Source organism: Homo sapiens, chromosome 4 (genome assembly GCF_000001405.40).
Source record: "Homo sapiens chromosome 4, GRCh38.p14 Primary Assembly".
Classification (NCBI taxonomy): Eukaryota; Metazoa; Chordata; class Mammalia; order Primates; family Hominidae; genus Homo; species Homo sapiens.
This window is the reverse complement of record NC_000004.12, coordinates 119,025,475-119,044,496: the sequence shown is the minus strand read 5'-3', so window position 1 is coordinate 119,044,496 and position 19,022 is coordinate 119,025,475. Positions and strand designations below refer to the sequence as shown.

Genomic DNA, 19,022 nt, shown 5'->3' with positions numbered 1-19,022 from the left:
CAGGAAAGGCATCAACAGCTTGTTTTCTTAAGCACAGAATAGAAAAAAATTATGCTCAATTCCTTTATCACATCTCTGGTCCAAGTGATAAGTTTTATTTAATGATATCTTTCCTGTTTGAGGGAATTTACACAATAATTTCATGTATGTCATTTCATTTTAGAGACATGGAGATGCCATAAACTATGTGGGATTTTCAAATGTGTGATTGTTTTGCTGGAGGAGAAACATGGGTTAAAGAGAAGTATACAATGATGGTCACGATCATGTGCTTTTCAAATACAAATGGGAAACTTAGGAAACATCTTTTATCAGAAGTATCCCAGTTACATTTCTTCAGAATAAGCAGCATTTACTTCCATTGAAAACACTAATTCCAGATATAGTTGTAGTCTGTCATTAATCACTGAAAGGATGTCTCGGGAGTTATTGGAATGTGTGTCTACTTATCAGACATACGAAATTAGAGATCAAATACTTAATTTTGCCCATGGCTATAGCTGCTATTACAGCTGGTTTTTATTTGCATAGCTTTTTTTTTTTTTTTTTTTTTTTTTTTGAGACGGAGTCTGTCTCTGTCACCCAGGCTGGACTGCAGCAGTACGATATGGGCTCACTGCAACCTCTGCTCCCCAGGTTCAAGTAATTCTCCTGCCTCACCCTGCCGGGTACCTGGGATTACAGGCATGTGCCACCACGCCCAGCTAATTTTTGTGTTTTTAATAGAGGTGGGGTTTCACCATGTCGACCAGGCTGGTCTTAAACTCCTGACCTCAAGTGATCCACCCACCTCAGCTTCCCAAAGTGCTGGGATTACAGGCGTGAGCCACTGCGCCTGGCCGGCATAGCTTTCTTAATGCATTCATGAAGCTGCAATGTATAATTGTCTTGAGATAACATTGTATGTTAATACTACAGCAAATTTTGCCATGTAGACCACACATTTATTAAAAGGATCTCATTCTTTAGTATTCTCCTGACTTCTCCCCATCCCAAAGTTTGCCTTCATTTTGATTTGATGTTAGGTATTTATTGACTATTACAATTGTTAAACAATTTTTTCACTTTTAGTATTAATTCATGCAAATGCATTGATGAATTTACAAAAATATTATGAATTAGCTAAAATACTACATCAGCCCTCTTAACTGCTATGGATATGTAATCTTAGCCTAAGATAAAAAGTAACTTCTGGGGAGACTAAAATGGATAGGCCCTCATCAATACACATTTGAGAGAAAGAGAGGAAAAGAGAGATCCTTTAGTAGTATGTGTGTCTAAATTCTTAAGCAATTATCCAAAACAAAAACAAAAAACAAAACAAAAAAAAACATGGCAGTAAGCCGAGATGGTGCCACTGCACTCTAGCCTGGGCGACAGAGCGAGACTCTGTCTAAAAACAAAACAAAACAAAACAAAAACAAAAGAAAAAAAACAACCAACCAAACAAACAAAATACAATGAACAGATCAGTCATTCATTGACCACATGGCATCAAACCTGTGCAGTGACCTAGGCTCCAGCATTAACCCATCATTTATAATATCCAGCTCTCCCATTAGTCTTTTCTCCTCCCACTGGTAAATGTACAAACATATATTTCACATCACAGAACTTCCAACACGTCACCATCTTTTCTGTTTTAGAAATAAACTTTAGTGCCTCAAAGTTTTGAAAACAATGTGCTTGTTAGGATCAAAGCCGTCACCAAGTGGGTCTGCCTGTTTCTTTGTTCCGTACACTCTTGTAACATATAAGCAGCCTCTGACTGATTTTGCATTTTGTTGACATACTACTCTATTTGCCAAGATTAATGTTAAAGTTAAACAAAAATATTGGGCTCTTTCCCTATGATGCATAAAGTGCATGAACTTCCTTTTTCTTTTGAAAATTTTATAATCGTATTTATTTTCATTTTAAAAAGCTAATAAGCATTCAAAGTGCTTCAAAATTTTCCATTAGCCTAGATCCCAAAATAAGAATGTTTAGATTACTGCCAGATAGATTTAAGCTAGTTATTAGTAAGAATATTTTGGATTTGGAGATAACAGAGTCTAGGGCCCAACAGCCAAGGGAAGTCATACAATCTTTTTCCCCAGAGATAAGAAAAAATAGCCAAGGAAATTCAATCTCTTTTCTAGATAATAAAATTGTATCATTCTATTCTATCCCTAGAAATATTTATACTCATTCTTGATTAGAAGCAGGGGGTCAGATAAAAATCACGTCTCAAGGCCCCCTTTAGTCTTTTGTCTTTTTTAAAAAAAGAATATTCAAAGCAAATTGTAATGCAACGAGCTTTAGAATGGCTGCCTGTGAAGCACTGAGAGGGAAGGAGAGTTTGCTGCCATCTCCTGGACGTTTGAAATAAAATCGGCAAGATGAGTGCTTCAGCGCCTGCCTGTTCCTTTTAGACGGGGCACTAAGACTGTGGAAGCAGGTGCAGTTTACAAGTCTGGCTGTCCCTGACTGGATAAACAGGAAAACTATTTATGGGTTTTAAAGAATAAAGTTGATTTAAGTGGTTTGCATGTTAGAAAAGTGTTATTCAAAGTGTAGTTCACAGCCCATTAGCATCAGAATCACCTGGGTTGTATGTTACAAAAACAAATTCCTAGGTCCCACCCAAACCTAGTAAATCAGAATCTCTAAGGTGGGGCTATCTCTAAGGTGGGGAAATCTTAATTTTACACTAGGAACAAAAAGTGGAAAGCTATATGTTACACTACGAAGGGAATAGTTTGCTCATACTAAAGTGCTGTATATAAAGGAAATCATATTAGTTCATTCAATGTAAAATTAAAATTAAAAGTTCTAAGTAATATATTTAGTGTTGCTGTTTATTTCAGTAATACCACCCACAATGAGTTGTGACATTTCAGTGAGTATTTCATAATGCAGAATTCAAAATCTAGCCCATATTGGACTTACGTGAAGAATTATGATCTGCACCATTTGTTAAACAGTAATAAGTAATCCAACCACAACCAACAGACTCTGAGTGTGAATTAAAAAAAAAACTCCAAACCAAAGATCTAATTGTGGAAGGATTGCAATGAAACCTTAAATTAGTACATTATATTAGTTCAACCAATTCCTTAGAGATTCTTAGCTCTAGAAAATGGTTTTGTGAACATTTCTTTATCAGTGTTAGATATGCTAGGTGAAAAAAGAACAAAGGGGTTTTTAGTACAGTAAGAGGCCTAGTTTTGCTTTATTTTTAAATGTAATTAAATGGCACAAAAGGAAAGCAAGACTAAATCAATTCAATTGCATTTGAAACAAAAGCTATTCTGGATTCAGATAACATTTTCAGAATCTCAGCTTGTTTTGATTTTTTATCTTCAAGATGAGTCTTGACTTCTGCTTCTGACTCAGAAGGATTCTAGAAGTACCAGAAAACCCACAAAAATTCCCTGGGTTTGAAAGGCAGCTGGAATATTAAGTTCCTCCCTATGTCAGTGGCTCAGCTTCTTAGAATTGTTTTTCATCACTTGCCCTGAGCTGGGAGTTTGCTCTGTTCAGGCCGAGGTTTCACTCTTTCTGTTTTTGGAAAGTGATCATGCCTCTCAGGCAAGGGGATCAATTACTCTAAAAAGGCCAGGTTGCTGACCCTTTGTCCTAGGACAGTGTGGAAAGGAGGGATAAGGACAGCTGTGAGCTGCGCCCTCCTAGGTCAGCCCAACTGTTGCAGGTCTGAAGTGGGGTAGTCTCAGGGATAGGGTTGCCAACTGCTCCACTTTCAGTGTAATAGGCCTATTTAAGCTTCAACTATGCTACCAGGTTACTCAGGATACCAACTATCCTGTTTAGAGAATATGTTTGGTTTACAAACATTTCCCCAGAAGAGCTCTCTTCATATTACTAAGTCCACTACATTCATTCTATTTAACATTGGTACTTTGAACTGAAAACAGTGTCTTTATAGTAGAGGCTCAAAGCTGATGTTATTTTATAAAAATATTGAACCAGTCTTTTTGAATCTGATCTCATCTTTGTATACCACGAAAAGAATGCTGGCACAATAGATGAACACAAAGCAGGAAAAAATGGACAAACAGGCTGAATACAGAGGAATGTAAACATATAAACTTCAGTAAGAAGAAAAAAGAGAAGAAACAAAGATCTCTCAACGACTCCTGGGAATAGATTTCTTGTGTCAATGTGAAATTTATAGCGACACTCCTTCTACTTTTCCTATTTTAGTTGTGGGTCTCAAACTGGGATTCATATTAACAGAGAACACAAAAGAACTTGTTTAATTGTGTTTTCCTCATTGGAAGTTTTTAAAATAGTAGCTATTGTTTATTGAGTGCCCCTTAGAAGAATAATAATAGCTAACATGTGTTGAATACTTTCTCTGTGCCAGGCAGTGTTTTATATACAAAATGCATATTGTTTCATTTAATCTTCATAACAACTTGTGAGGTACACCTATTATTGTCTTCGTTTCACAGCTGAGGTATTGAAGCACAGGGCGACTGAATCCTTTGTTTAAAGTCTCCCAACCAGCAGGAGGCAGGCCTGGGACTCAGAGGCAGGCAGCGCGGCCCTAGAGCCCACACTCTTAATCACTACCAATGTACTTCTTGTGGGCTCAAGGTTTACACACCTTATCTCATCTAATAGTATGTGAAGTTCATTTAAGACATGATTACCTTTTGCTTTTCCTAAATTAAAAAAAAGTCTTGTCTTCTTTTTAATTTAAAAATTGGAAGGAACCTTATTCTCTGCATTATTGTTACTGAAATTTGAGGGTTTCTCTCATCACTATTCTGTTCTTCCTTTATTTGCCAGGTATAAATTACCATAACTCTGGTAATATGTGATGCTGGTTGGCTGGAAGCGGTAGGTGTTTGAGGCGTGTGGTCTAGTGCACTGTGGGAATTTGTTCAACAGAAACCAGCAAAATGTTGAGCTTCCCTTCGCCATTATTGAGTTGTAATAAGCAAATAGGCTGATGGAGATAAAAACTACAGCTTTTCCCCATGCACCCTGTTTAAAAATGTCTATTGCTTGGAGCTACCAAACTCTAAGATGTTGCACTATTTCTTATTTTGATTTAGAAGGTTTAGTGTAACTTTGGAGTTATCTCTGAGACATGTAAAACTCATCACTTCTGATGAGCAGTTCCTTTTACCTGTGACCTGAGTCTTCTTGCAATCAGGGGAGGTAGTATAGCCTTGTGATTAGATGATGGCCATAGAGTTTGACTGTTGGGTCCCGAGGCTTAGCCCTACCATGTTACACAAGTTCCTTAAGTTTTCTTTACCTCAATTTTCTCATCTTAAAGTGGGATGATAATAGTACCTACATCATACTTTCATCATTTTGTGGTGACCAAAAAAGTGCTTAGAGTGGTACCTAGCACATCTTAAGCCCCCATAATTGTTACCTTATTAGTGGTTCTATGATTTTAAATTAAGTCAATAAAGCTCTGCAAATGTAATGAGTTTTTACAATTAACCTAGAAGCTCACATCTTCTTTTTTTGAAGTTGGTGATGGGACTGTTCCAAACCCATGTTTAGAATCTATCACACTAGTTCCTCAGGAGATGTTTTCAAAATAACAATGATATATAAAAGGAAAAAAAAAAAACCACTGGAAAAAATGTAAGGTTTAAAAGTGTCCTTGCTGGGAAGCCTTTGACAGAAATAATTGTTGAGAAATCTTCCACTGAGGAATCTTTGAGGTGGGAAGGGTTTGCTGCCTCATGCACTTGACTGCTGTCCTGACTGGGATTGGCACCGTGACACTCTAAGATTCCAGGGGTAACTCTTTTTCAGAGTGTAGTCTGAAATACTGAAAACTTGTGACTCCCTCAGCGTTATTCTGTTTAGAATTATTCTTGTTGAAATGCCTTAAGTTATTATTGGTTTAGTAGCAAGCCATGCTAGGTGCTGATTCACTACTTAATAAGAAAGTTCCCTGAGTTACATTTAGTTAAAATGGCAGAAAGCCAAAGGGAGCACTTCCTTTTATGCAGAGTTTGATTATGCTTTATTTTTAAAAATCACATTCTTCCCCATTCCCAGCCAACGAACAACACTATTCATTCTGAAATAAGAAAATGAAAGAATTTTGAGAAGTCACACAACATTGCTGTAAATTTCATTTTTTTTTTTTACTAATAAAACAGATGCTTCTTTCTCAGAGATGGGTTTTCACTTTCAACATGCGTCATAGCATCTGATTTTCTGAGCCATCTTGGGAAATGGAGTCTTTCCTAATGTCATTGAATGTGGTCAAAGCTATCTACAAAGCAGAGACAGTAGGCTCTTGGTGAATCAGTTTGGGAAATTCACAATTAAGCAGTCTCAGGGAGTGAAATTCCGGGGTCTGATGAGACTGTGGAAACCATGTGGTACTGTAGGGAGAGCACAGGTTTGGATGCCAGACAAATATCTAAATCTAACCCTAATCCACTGCTTATAAGCTTAGTGATTGTTGCACAAGTTGTTTAGCTTCTCTGAGCTTAGATACCTCATCTGTAAAATGGGAATAATACCTTCTTTTTAGTGTAATTCTGAAGAATAATGAAATCACAGTATAATTGGTTAAGAATTCAGGCTGCAGACTGAATCCAGGGGCCATTACTTAACATCGTATGATCTTTGGCAAGTTACTTAGCCTCTTTGTGCCTCAGAATCTCATCTGTAATCTATAAAATGGGGATAATGATCATACCTAGCTCACAAGGACTGCTGATTAAAAGCAGTAATCTGTGAAAGATACTCAGCACAAATCAGGGCCCAAATTTTGTGCTCAGCTAATGTTAGCTATTATCAAAACTTATGTAAAATATTTAACACAGTTCCTGCATATAGTAGAAACTTAATACATTAACTCCTGTCTTTTCCTCAGGACCCATGAGATTATTTGAATGACTGCCACAGCTTCTGTCCCCACTCATGTCATCCTGACTTGAACCAAAATGCTTGATTTTGGGTTGTTGCATGGCCTTGATTATTGCACCAAATAAAAGTATCAAAGATTCTCTGACTTCTACCGTGTATCCTGAAGAAAAGACAAATGAAAACACTATGGCTTTTGTTATTTACTTCCAAGAAGAACATTTTTCTGTTTATTCTTAGAATGTGAATTTTTTTTTTCAACTCAGGGCCAAGTACAAACTTTTGATTTTTGAAATTTTTTCAACTCAGGGCCAAGTACAATCTTTTGATTTAAAAATTTTTTTTCATGAACAAACCATCAGTAGTTATTAAGGAGCCCAAGAAATAGGAGATGTGAAAGCAGGATTTCTTTGTGTTTCCTTTGAATGTTGTTATTTTGAGTATTATCATTATCAGGTAGAGGAAGAAAGGTAGGCTGGGAAGTAGGTCCTTATGATATCTTGACTATGGATCCCAGATTTACATTTCACCTGTCACAGAGCACACATAATTTAGATAAACATGTCAAGAATGACATAAACAGAGGTAAACACAAGGAGCTTTACATTTGGAACCAAAAAATAAAAATTAGAAAAATTATTACCTATATTAATAACAAAAAAATTACTTAAACTCTAGGACCCTGTAGGAGTCTAGCTTTCTCCCCTGTATACTTGGGATGCACTTTATTGGCTGGCAAACCTTTGATAAAATCAGAAGTTTGAGAAATGTTTGACAGGACTTGATATTTAAAATTAAATTTCTCTTTATTCAATTGCCTCTGAGTAGTGCTGTGATTTCCAAGTGCCAGGTAGTTAGGTGTACAAATATACATACCACAGAAACATACAGTTTTTAAAAAAATTAAGAAACTGGCTGCATCTGACGACATCAAGAAAAAAGATAATTCTGATTCAAGGGCTTCTCCAGAAGATGGGGTTTCATTGGCATGACGCTCATAGGATGACCTGTCATTTTTGTACTATTTTTTCTAGAACCATAGAGGGATGACAGTAACTGGCTTCTTAGAGCAATTTTGCCTGGTGTCTGGATCCTGTGGGAATTTATTAGCCTGCTTTGTGGCCCTTGGCCAACCCTGGTAGGACATCTAGAGAAGAATTCAATTCTGCTTTTTCCCAGAATAATTGTTGACTAACTCGGCAACACCAAAGTGTCACAGGCATCTTTGTGTCCCCCAGAGTCCAATGATATGTGGACCCAAGACCAGCGAGGGTCATGTTTCTGGGAATACAGTGTTGGTTCTTAGAATTTATATATTTTTTCTCATGAACTTATAAAAATGTTTAAAAACAAACTCAACAACCCTGATTTTAAAGAGAATGAGCACACGCCCCACGACTTCCCTCTAGAAGCATTTTAAGCATTTAGCTTTTCAAAAAACAATCATTTCTTTTTGATGACCATGACTTCAAATGCCCTGCCTGCTGGGCCAGTTGTGACTCATCAAATAGCAACTGATTTCAATAATTCACCCTTAGAATGGGGGTGCTTGCAGGAGCCCTAGTTTATAACTGGATGAAATGATACGCAGCCAAGGGCCTTTATTTGAGAAATTAAATCTAAACGCAGACACTAACAGCCATGTGTCTTCTGCTCTTAGGAGGGTTTACTGTGAAAGAGCCACACAGAGTGTTCGACATGCCTCTTAGCAGCCGAATGACCTTCAAAGTTCTTTAACCTTGTAACTGCAAATAGGAAAATGGTCTCACATACGTTAGTCTACCCCCTTTCAATGTAGATCAGGTGTTTTTTTTTTTTTTTTGGACATCTCAGATGTGACTCTTGCTGCCAGGCTAGAATTTAGGCTATGTGATAATTCTCAGCTGTCCTACAATGCCTGCTTCTTGAAAGAAGTCGGCACTTTCTAGAATAGCTAAATAACCTGGGCTTATTTTAAAGAACTATTTGTAGCTCAGATTGGTTTTCCTATGGCTAAAATAAGTGCTTCTTGTGAAAATTAAATAAAACAGTTAATTCAAAGCCTTGATATATGTTACCACTAACAATCATACTAAATATATTTTGAAGTACAAAGTTTGACATGCTCTAGAGTGACAACCCAAATGTGTCTTACAAAACACGTTCCTAACAAGGTATGCTTTACACTACCAATGCAGAAACTGTGTTTGTTTTCCTCTCTAAAAAACAGGATGTGTCAAAATGATAAATATTCTAAGATTAAAGTGGCAATGCTCAGATTCCCAATCTTACCAGTTCTGGGATTCACTCTGCCCTCCTAGAAGACTGAGGGGAATATGCTGTACTTACATGTCCATGGAACCTTCCTTCCTCCTAGAATCCCAAGCGTTATGCAGATTCATTATAGCACAACATTCCCGTCAGGAAGAGAGGTTTGACACATGATTAAGGGGAAACTTGTGGAAAGAGAAATGTTTAAGGTCCTGCAGAAAGTCAGTGACTGTAATGACCTTTTTCATTTATATTCCAGTGCCTGTATTTAAACCATGCAGTGGATTTGGGATAATATACATAAGGCACCTAACATAACATAGGAACTCGTAAATGATTGTCGCTCTTGAGCTGGCAATGAAAACCGACTTCGTGGATGCTCTGCCTAGAAATTATGCTAAGGACAAAGGAAGAGGCAAAGTCCTAAAAACTAAACAAAAACTGCCTCCCTACACCTCATAACCAGCGGACCAACCAATCAAGCTAATACCAACACAGCTAAGGCAACAACACTCAGATTGAAAATGTACCCCATGGGAGGGAGGCTGACGTCTGGAGGTCTAACTCTCCCTTCTGTCACACTGACATCACTTCCTTGGCCCCAACCTGAAAGGTGGCACATATAGCCCCTGGTGGGCAGACAGGGAAAGCAAATTCCTCTTACTCCAGGGAGCTGGTTAGTCCTTCTTCCTCCCACTTCCCATCTCCCTCAGAGTGAGGTCAGACTTTGTTGTGGATATTGTTTTGGAGAACTTCCACCCTCTTCTATAAAGTGGGACTGTATGGTCCAAGATGAGACCTATGCTGCCAGTGCCCAGCTGAAGTTGTAGATGCTTTTACTGCATGCCTGACATGCCTCTTACAAGGTTTTGGAGAACTCCAAATAGTCCTAGGATGACCAGAAGGCATAGTCATGTTATTTGCATCTTTAGTTATCAACTCCAAATAGTGGCTCTGCTAAGATTGCCACCTGTCCAACAGGAAATGGAAAGAAAACACTTCTCATTCCTGCATACCACACCACTAGACAACTGGAAATACTTCTGGGTCATTACCATCCTAGGATACTTTTAAGCCGATGATCTCAAACCGACTACCTGTGTGTTCCATGTCTTTCCTCTAATTCATGCCGCTCTTTAAATGCTATGTTAAGAATGCAAAGCTATAAAAATGATCTTTTTTCCTGCTGCACCATAAGAAGCCTTTTTTGGTTGTTCTATTAGAAAAGAATTCAAAATGCAAGCATTCAACAGATTTCCTTTGCAGGGAACAAGTAATACAAACAACTGTGTTATATAATGAATAGATTGCTTTTTTCCTTTATCCTGTATTAATCTTAATTGGTTTCCCAAAAAGGCAAATAAGAGACCAAGCTACATCCTGTGGTTGTAACCTCTAGGTAAATTTCCACCAAAAGCAATGAAAGATTTTCCAGAGAAAAAGCAGAAGAATCAGCCCCATTGTTCTGCAGCTGACTTAATTCTCCTCTTTATGTTTTAGAAATACCTAAGGATTACAGTTTTACAATGTATGGAGAAATAGATATGCTAACAACAATGAAATTGTTGTGGGAGCCATATAGAGAAATATCAGAGAAATTATTTAGATCAGAATAGCTCATACAAGGAAGATTTTTTTAAAATATGGACATTGAACAGATAAAGGAGACAGTAATATTTTAATAGGATAGTGAAAAATATAGCAGATTGACAGTGACAGCAGAAAAAGAGCAGGAATACAGATATTTTCAGAAGATTAAAATGGTACTGTGTACCCTCAAACCAGGCAAGTTTTTCTGAGAGGTCTCTAAACATATCTCCTGCATAGAGTAGATGATTTTTCTTGGAGCTGTCATAAATGCTTTATAGTTCTCTACATTAATTCATGTCGAATATTTTCCATGGTTGGTCAGACTCAGACTTAAAATAGATCTGAGAAAGGTCTTCAGGTTTACTTTCAGTACCATTATTCACTTCATAGCCAGCTGGGTGACAACATGGTGTGTGGCCAATTAAAGTTTACAAGGTAACCTTGCCTGAATTATCCTGGTCCATCGAATACAAATAGTAAAGTGAAGGTGAGAGAATAGAATTGCAAGGAACGTGGGAGAAGCAGTTGTCAAAAAGCAAAGCAAACACAAGAAAAAAAATCTGTGAGATCACTCAGAAATGATGCTAATAATTGTGTGCTCTCACCCTACAGTCTCCACACACATGGGGTTCCTCGTGCTTCACAATCAGCCCCTGTAGTCAGTCAGTAAACCTTCAGGTCCCAATCATGTGGTTTCTCCAGGTGAAACAATAGCCATGTACACCTTTATGTGCGTCCTGCCTTTTACATGTTACTTCGTTATCCTGTATACTCTACCACTTGCCTCAGCTGAGGAAAACAAACTTATGCTTTCATGGGCAACTGGAGATGTACTCACTTAGTTCCTTAAGTAACTGGGGAGGGAGGGTGGGAATCAACCTTTAAAGATAATTATCCTTCTTTCCTTATCCCATTTACTTCATTATTACTATTATTATTATTATTATTGAGACAGGGTCTCACTATGTTGCTCAGGCTGGTCTCCAACTCCCGGCCTCAAGCAGTCCTCCTACCTCAGCCTCCCAAAGTGCTAGGATTCCAGGCATGAACCACCATACCCGGCCCCATTTACTTTAAATAAGTTTTCTGAAATGAGTTTATATATGTAAAAACATCTGGCAAAGAACCTAATACATAATAAGTGCTCAGTAATTAAGACCCTCTTTCTTACCCACTTCTTACTAAACTATATACATTCCAACAATCCTCCGAGTATCTTCTCTGTGATATCAAACAGGTGGCTGAGATTGACAGACCAGAGCTGCTCCCTGTCCTTCATAGATTCCTTATTCCTTTAACACTAGTAATAGAGATAAGGCACTACCTAAAAGGGAAATCTCAGTCAATATAGGTTATACCTTCACTACATTTGAACCTTTCACCATAGGAGGACAGCTGTTATGTTACATAAAGGCTGATTCCTGATGTTTGATATCACTGATCACTGTCTTTCTTGTGGCTACAGCACAAATCCTAAGTCTCCTGCTTACTTAATATAACGGTACATGTCTATTTTGGGGTGCTCCTGGATTTTTTAAGTGTGCAAAGAAGATAAATATATTTTAGGTCAATCTGAGTTGGATTTTTGACTCATTAAAAATATTATACTCCTTGGACCCAGATTAGGAGGTGACATATCTGAAATTAAGTAAGTTGAGGACTTTGCTAGGCATTCTCAGGGACTCAAGAAACACTGCAAACAATTCATTTCAAGCAAAGTGGACACTCAGCTTCAGCTACAAGATTACTCTTCCACAACAGATGGTTTCCACACCTGAATTGTGACACCACTTTTCTTGGCTGAGAACTTTGGCCTTGGTGCCACAAAATAAGATGATGAGGCTGATTCTTGCTTTGGCGAGGTGGGAATGCCCACAGGCACTGGGGATGCACTGACTGGTGAGGAGGCCTCTGCAAAGAAGGAAGGAGGAGAGGTATAGGCTGGTACCGAGTACACTGACGAAGCCTGCACATTCGTAGGTGAGGCAGCATTCACTGGCCGGGGAGGAAGAGCTTGCTTCATGGCCAGGGCTGAATTGACCTTGACTGATGACTTCTGGGGGAGGCCATCCTTTGCATCTGGAGGTTGGAAAGTAAACAAGGATGCATTGAGCTGATACGGTTGGTGCTTCATGACATCTAATGCATTGAGGGGTTTCTTTCCCTTTTTCTTGCCCATTTTGGAGGGCTGTGCAGCTGATGGCTGAGACTTGAGAGCAGCCAGTGGGTAAGACGGCGAGTGGATAGGATTATAGGCCACAGGAGGAGGTGCTCGGACATTGGAGGAGTACTTCCAACTGGCCGGGAGAGATGGAGTGGGAGACTGAGCTCGAGCAGCGTGGGCCTGCACCGTGTCTGAATCGACCACATACTTCTCCATTCTCGACTGCCTTTTAGCAAAGAGCTGAGCTCCTCTCCCACTCATTCCTGGAAGCTCATTGGATGGTCCCACTGCACCAGGCTGAACAGCATTGACTGTTGGTGTGGAAACTGTTGGTTTGGGTGTGTAATTCTGACTGGCTACTGCTGCTTGTGGTCCTTTGAAGGGACCAGCCACGTTCAAAGTACTTGCAGGCCGGGCAGGAGGGTAAGAAGGCTGGGCTATTTTGATGGAGGAGACAACGGTGCCCTTTGATGGGTTGGATGTGGGGAAGGCAGGAGGTTGGGTGGGAGCCACTCCTGGAGACCAGACTGGGGAAACTGGAGTTACTGGTTGGGAGGATGAGGACTTGACTGCAGGTTTTGGAGCAACAGGAGGAGGGGTCTTTTGTTTGGCAGAGGAGCTTTGCATGAAATTACAAGCCTCTGCCCCCAAGCTGAGGTAGTCTTCTTCCGGTCCGGAATCACCTCCAGCTCCAGTGCCCCGTTTGCCTTCTGAATTTTGAAGGAGTGACAAGAGTTCAGGATTTGGGCTTACTTTGGGCTCTTTAAAAGTAAACATGGGTTTTGTCGTGCTTCTCCTTTTGGCCTCCTGCAATATTCCTGTTCTTTTTGCTGGCACTGAGATCCTCTCATCTCGGGAAGCTATTCGCTCAGACGAATCGTAAAAGGCTGGCTGGGACCACGGGGCAGGCTGGGGCCATGGAGGGGGCTGTGCTGGGCCAGCAATCGGACTTGAAACCCCTCTGGAGAAGGCGTCAGGGGGAGGAGTGACTGCAGAGTAAGGTGGAGGTGCAGGAAAGTCAGCAATGGGACTCGTCATGTTTCGGGTTGGCGAGAAGGGGGTAGCTGGCTGATTCACAGACCCTGGGAAGGGTTTGGCCGTTCTATTCATGGGGACCATCCTCTGGATGTTTGCTGTCTCAGATGTCCCACTGAAGCCATTCTGTTGGGGAACATGGCCAAGACCATGACTCACCTCGATGTAGCTTTTGCTCACAGAGCTCTGCGTTCTTACCGACTCTTCCTCCTTTCTTTGGTAAGAAGTCGTGGTTCTCAGGCCATCGGTCTGGGCAGCATCTTGTTCTCTGCTTGGCGTTCCACCTACCTTGTCCTCTTCTTTTTGGGCTGTGATCTGATCCATTCTCTCCCTCCTCTTGGCAAACATGAGGGCTCCCTTGCCTGTGGTGTCTGGTAACATCTCCATCTTGTCCCCTCTGTTCAGTTTCTTTTCAATGTCCACCAGTCCAGAATCCCAGTCAAAGTTCACAACTTGTGTGTTGTCGTCAACGTCAGACAATAACTCTTCATCCACCTCTGATTCGCTTGCACCAAGAAATGCTACTTCACATGTATCCTCCTTGTCACCTTCTTCCTCCTCGTCCGCCTCTCGCTCAAGCTCGCCAGTACCGTAGCTAACTAGGGTGTATTTCCTGGCCCTCCGACGTCGCTTCTTAAACATCAACACCCCCTTGGAGTTGGGGTTGGGAGCATCCGTTAGAAGAAGGGCAATGCTTTTGCATTTAGATTTTGCTTCCTTCACTTGTTTTTCTGACAGGCTTTCACTCCTCCTGAGCCCTAGGGAAAGCAAAAAAAAAAAAATTATATTGAGCTGATGAGTTCAAGGAAGACACCACAGCAACTCAGAAATGAACTCTCCTGGGGGAAAATAAATATGTAAAAAATTGCCATTGAGTACAGAATTTTGAAGGAATCCAACACATTTCTTTTTCTTATTTCTCTTAACATGTTTCCTTCTACAATAATATACTGTTCTATTTGTTTACATAAAAATATTTTATATATGCTGATTAGAATATATGTTTCATACATTTGTTTCTCTAGAGATCCTTCCACTTTAATAATAAAAACTGGCTAGTAAATGTCAATTAATAGGATAAAATTAGAATTAAGAAGGACATAATTTAAAGACATAATATTTTCTGAAAAACAAGATGAGACATATCTCATACTTCCATATTTTAAAATAAAGTGTCAATATAAAACTGTTTCCAGGAATCTTAAAAAGGGAGGAGCGTCCCAAGAAGATGTTTTAAAATTTTCTAAATGTTTTAATGTAATGAATTTAGCTATTTAGGTTTTCTTCTTTCTCTTTTTTCTTTTTTTACCCTGACAACCACCCCAAATCTTTCCACTCACAGCTACTGGATTAATATAAATTCAAAACACTGAATTAATCATTGAAGGTACTGAATCAATAATTAAAATTCAAAATATGACATTATTGTAAATACATATAAGAAACTCTAGCTACAAAGTTTTCTAGACAGATTTGTTTGTAAATGTATTGCTATTTTGGAAATACAATATTACTTTCCTTGCAGCAAGAATAAACCTTGGAGAAATTTAAAAATTGACTTGTGACCCACTTAACTGTGTAAAAACTGATGCAGAAATTAAGTCATTTAAAACAAGAATATGATTTTTATTTTATAAAAATAAAAATATTTAAAATTTTCTTTCATTATTACTATTATAAAAAAGAAATGGGTGGCAAATTATAGCAACTAAACATATAGCATCTATCATTTATAATTTATAGTTATATCATATTTTCAATGATAATGACTGTGAGTCCCCTAAATTTTTTAATTCCTCAAAACAGTTAAGTGGAAAATTAAGAAAAAATTTTTGACTATTTTATGATTGAAAATTAGCTCTTTTTGTCACAGACTTAATGGTTAATTTTTTTTAAATAAAATATAATCCAAGGAAATAATTTTATAATATGATTACAGGCATTTACTGGTGATCGAATTTTCTAGAGAAAAATAGTTGAAACTGTGGTTATTACTAAATAGAATTCCTTTTTTGACTAGTGTTATACAACTTATTAAATTGACAGTCACAGTTGCACAGTTGCTGCTAACTTCACTGCCAACATGTAAAGTATGTGAATGGTGTCTCAATACTCTTGTTTAATATGCTATAAATGTGAAGATGGCCTACAGATGCTTAAAGTATAAGGAATGATTAACAGCACTTGCCAATAAAGCTACAAATGGTTATGCTAAAAATATGCTTTGAAAGGAATAACAATAGGTTAGAAGACTTAATATCCTACTTTGAATAACCGAATTCATTGCCATTGTGTATCATATATACAGTCAAGTGCCTTTGCCTGTCAGCCTTTACATCCTCAAATAAAATTCCAAAATTAGTAAAAAAAAAAAAAAAAACAAACAAAAATAAACGTGAAATAAAACAATAGAAATCCTAACACCTAACTGCAATTCTTATCCCAATTCTCCTTTCTGTCTTCTCTCCCCTGGGTAAAACAAAATGCCATACAAAGCACTGAATTTAAATATATTTTATGTTTGGAGACATTTAAATGCCTCCACATGGCCCTGGAGACTGACTTCTGTGTCTAGAAGGTAGATGAAACACTTTGCAGTCAAATGAAGACTTACACAACGGAGAGGATCATGTAACTGCTCAGTATACACATGTCCTTGTCTGTCAAACTCACTTCTGCAAGCATCATCAAGCTGCACAATGATTTTTTTTCAAAACAAGGATCTGCTTTTGATATCAATGGTAGAGCTTTTATTTTAAAGACACCTCTCAGTAGCAGACTCAACAGTTTTTGACATTTAAACTGAGTCCACATGACTTCAAGTGCTTTCTTATGCTATTTTAACATGAACTATTTCAACTGTCTGAAACAAAATGAACAGGCACATTGACAATATTATTTTCTTTAACAGTTCCTGTGCCTTTGGGGATAAAAAGAAATTCATGAAAAATGTTTAAATCTATATGAAGTTCGGACTTATTGCTTCCTATTTAGAAATTGGTATTCTCCACAATTTCACATTTGTGATTTTGTGCATTAATTAAATATTTCTTTAAGCCAATGAGAAACATAAGAAAAATCTTGCTGAAAAACTCATGCAAGCAAAGAAGCAGCAAAATGCCCCCAACTCCCAAGCCCCTTCTGAAAGCCCAGGCAGAACTTACGTGCATGCCGCGCTCGGTGCTTGTGAGGTCTGCTGTGATCTTTTTCCGAGCGTGGATCTTCTCCCTGCTCTGTGCCTTCTGATGAGACGGCAAAGGATACCAGAGAAGGAGGTGCTTCTGACTGCCCTCCTTCCACTGGAGAATCCACACACTCCTTTCCTGCCTGAAGCCTGCACCCTTCTGTCTTCTGCCTGTCAGAGCAGTCGAGGATCACTTCCACCCGGGGCAGTCCCGCATCTCCTGCTTCACTTTCCTGGATCACTCTCAACTCTCTGCCACTGGAGATCTGGATTATCTTGCTGGACCTCAGGAAAGGGTCTGCTTTCTCATTAGTAGGGATCGAATTTATGTGGACAATCCTGTCATGTGACAAGTTAGGGTCTGGGTCAGGAGACTTAGATTTTTCAGCTCCCGGGAGAGCCACTAAAGGGCCACTAGCGCCCTTATGTCTCTCCTGTGAAAGGGACAGTTGCAGCTCAACCACAGGCCCAGGCTGTACCGCTTCTACCTTCTCCCTTAAGATCAGCTCTTCTGCCACGCGTCCTCTTTGGGAGTCAGGCATTTGGGGAGCCCTTTGGTAGCTCGGGCCTGTTTCTTCTTTCAAGCTGCCTGCACAGTCGGGACCACTTCTTTGGTTCTCAGCTAGGGGAACTTCAGTCTTGACAGGGGCGAGGAAGAATTCTGTGCACTGGGTCTTTGTGGCCGGTCGAATCTGCAGGGTGGTACTTTCCACATAACCCCCATGTGTGAGATGCTCGAGGTTTTTGTTTTCATTTTCAGATATCAAAGCCTCACTTATTCCACTGGATGGTCTGCACACAGAAAAATCATTCCAGACACTTAAATCAGACTATGTTACATCTGCCAAAGAACTTCCTGACACTTTTGTGATGTCTAATATGTGATATAGTCAAAATATTTTCTTCTAAATGTCAGTTGCAACATATTTGAAAACAGAAGGTGGCAACATGTTCATATTATTACTTAAAGAGATACCAAATAAACTTTTTTAAAAGCACAAAGAAACTCTTACACAAGATTATGAAACCTGAATCCATCCTAAATTCAGCTTTTATTTTTAAAAAACTACATGGATCCCGTTTATCTGTAAGTACTTGGAATCTGGGTATCTCTTATAATGAGTTTGCTAGAATGTGACAAAGCATTTCAATGTCTTATTGACTAAGTTTTGGTCTAGACATTATGAAGTCACATAAACATATCCAGCACCTTCAGATCAATCTTAACTTACAGATAACTCAACTAGTCCTTTTAGAGGCTGTGCTTTCTTGAAAGGAATGAAATAGAAGCTGTTTTTTAAGCCCCAGTGAGCATGTGTTTCGTAATAAGTGGACCCAGCCCAGTACTCTTGCGTAAAGAGAAATCCTTTCCGTGCTGCAATGAATCATTAAGTCATGGAGTATTTATAATCTGAGATGTCTCCCTTTCTTCTATTTGGATCTGTTTCTTGGAGCATTTTCTTTTTAGGATATCTGAAGTCAAACTGTTCCTTTATCTCTCAGCTAAGGAGCCTAGAGCTGTACACCACAGCTCTTTGATTTTGATCTTCCCAGTTGTCTGTGCAAATTTGGGTTTCTGAGAAGAAGCAATGTCAGTTTAAGAGTTAAATAACTTCTTTCTGAAACTCTAATTTAAACTGTAAATGTTTTTAGAGGTATTATTCACAGAACAGCTGTAGGAAATGCCTTCATTTTTTATATTTGTATTTTTTTTAATTTTGGAAGCAGCATAATTATCTTTGCCCCTTTCCTCCTTCCTTAAAAGACAGTTATGACTCATGCAGGCACGTCAGCTGAAGGGCGTGAGCTTCTACTTGGATTCTACTCAAAGGAATTTACCTTAGAATTTATGTGGTAGTGCAATTTCCGACCAATGCTCAAAATACTTACTCCTACCTTTGCTTTCAACTGCATTTGGCAAAACAAAACTAAACAAAATGAAAA

The 19,022-nt window shown here is 38.8% G+C and overlaps 1 protein-coding gene across 7 annotated transcripts in view, besides 1 other annotated feature; it reads right to left on the bottom strand.

Annotated features, from left to right (window-relative positions):
• The window catches only part of SYNPO2 (synaptopodin 2), a 210,567-nt gene that overhangs the window by 16,751 nt on the left and 174,794 nt on the right, over window positions 1-19,022 (bottom strand). For 2 of the 7 annotated variants that reach the window (NM_001286754.2, NM_133477.3), the window contains exons 3-4: window positions 17,059-17,870; window positions 12,470-14,652 (exon numbers count right to left, since the gene is read on the bottom strand). The exons of 1 other annotated variant lie outside the window; for it this stretch is intronic. In NM_001286754.2, coding sequence (NP_001273683.1) covers window positions 12,470-14,652; window positions 17,059-17,870 — 2,995 coding nt within the window. Of the gene's footprint in view, window positions 1-487; window positions 14,653-17,058; window positions 17,871-19,022 lie in introns of those variants that run through there. 4 more of the 7 variants (NM_001128934.3, NM_001389263.1, NM_001128933.3 and 1 more) reach the window with 4 other exon arrangements.
• Window positions 12,326-12,825: an enhancer, noted in NCBI's record as "H3K27ac hESC enhancer chr4:119952827-119953326 (GRCh37/hg19 assembly coordinates)". NCBI's record gives its function as "activates a minimal SCP1, AML or CMV promoter by ChIP-STARR-seq in naive H9 embryonic stem cells {active_cell/tissue: H9 hESC(naive)}" and the evidence as "EXISTENCE:reporter gene assay evidence [ECO:0000049][PMID:30033119]".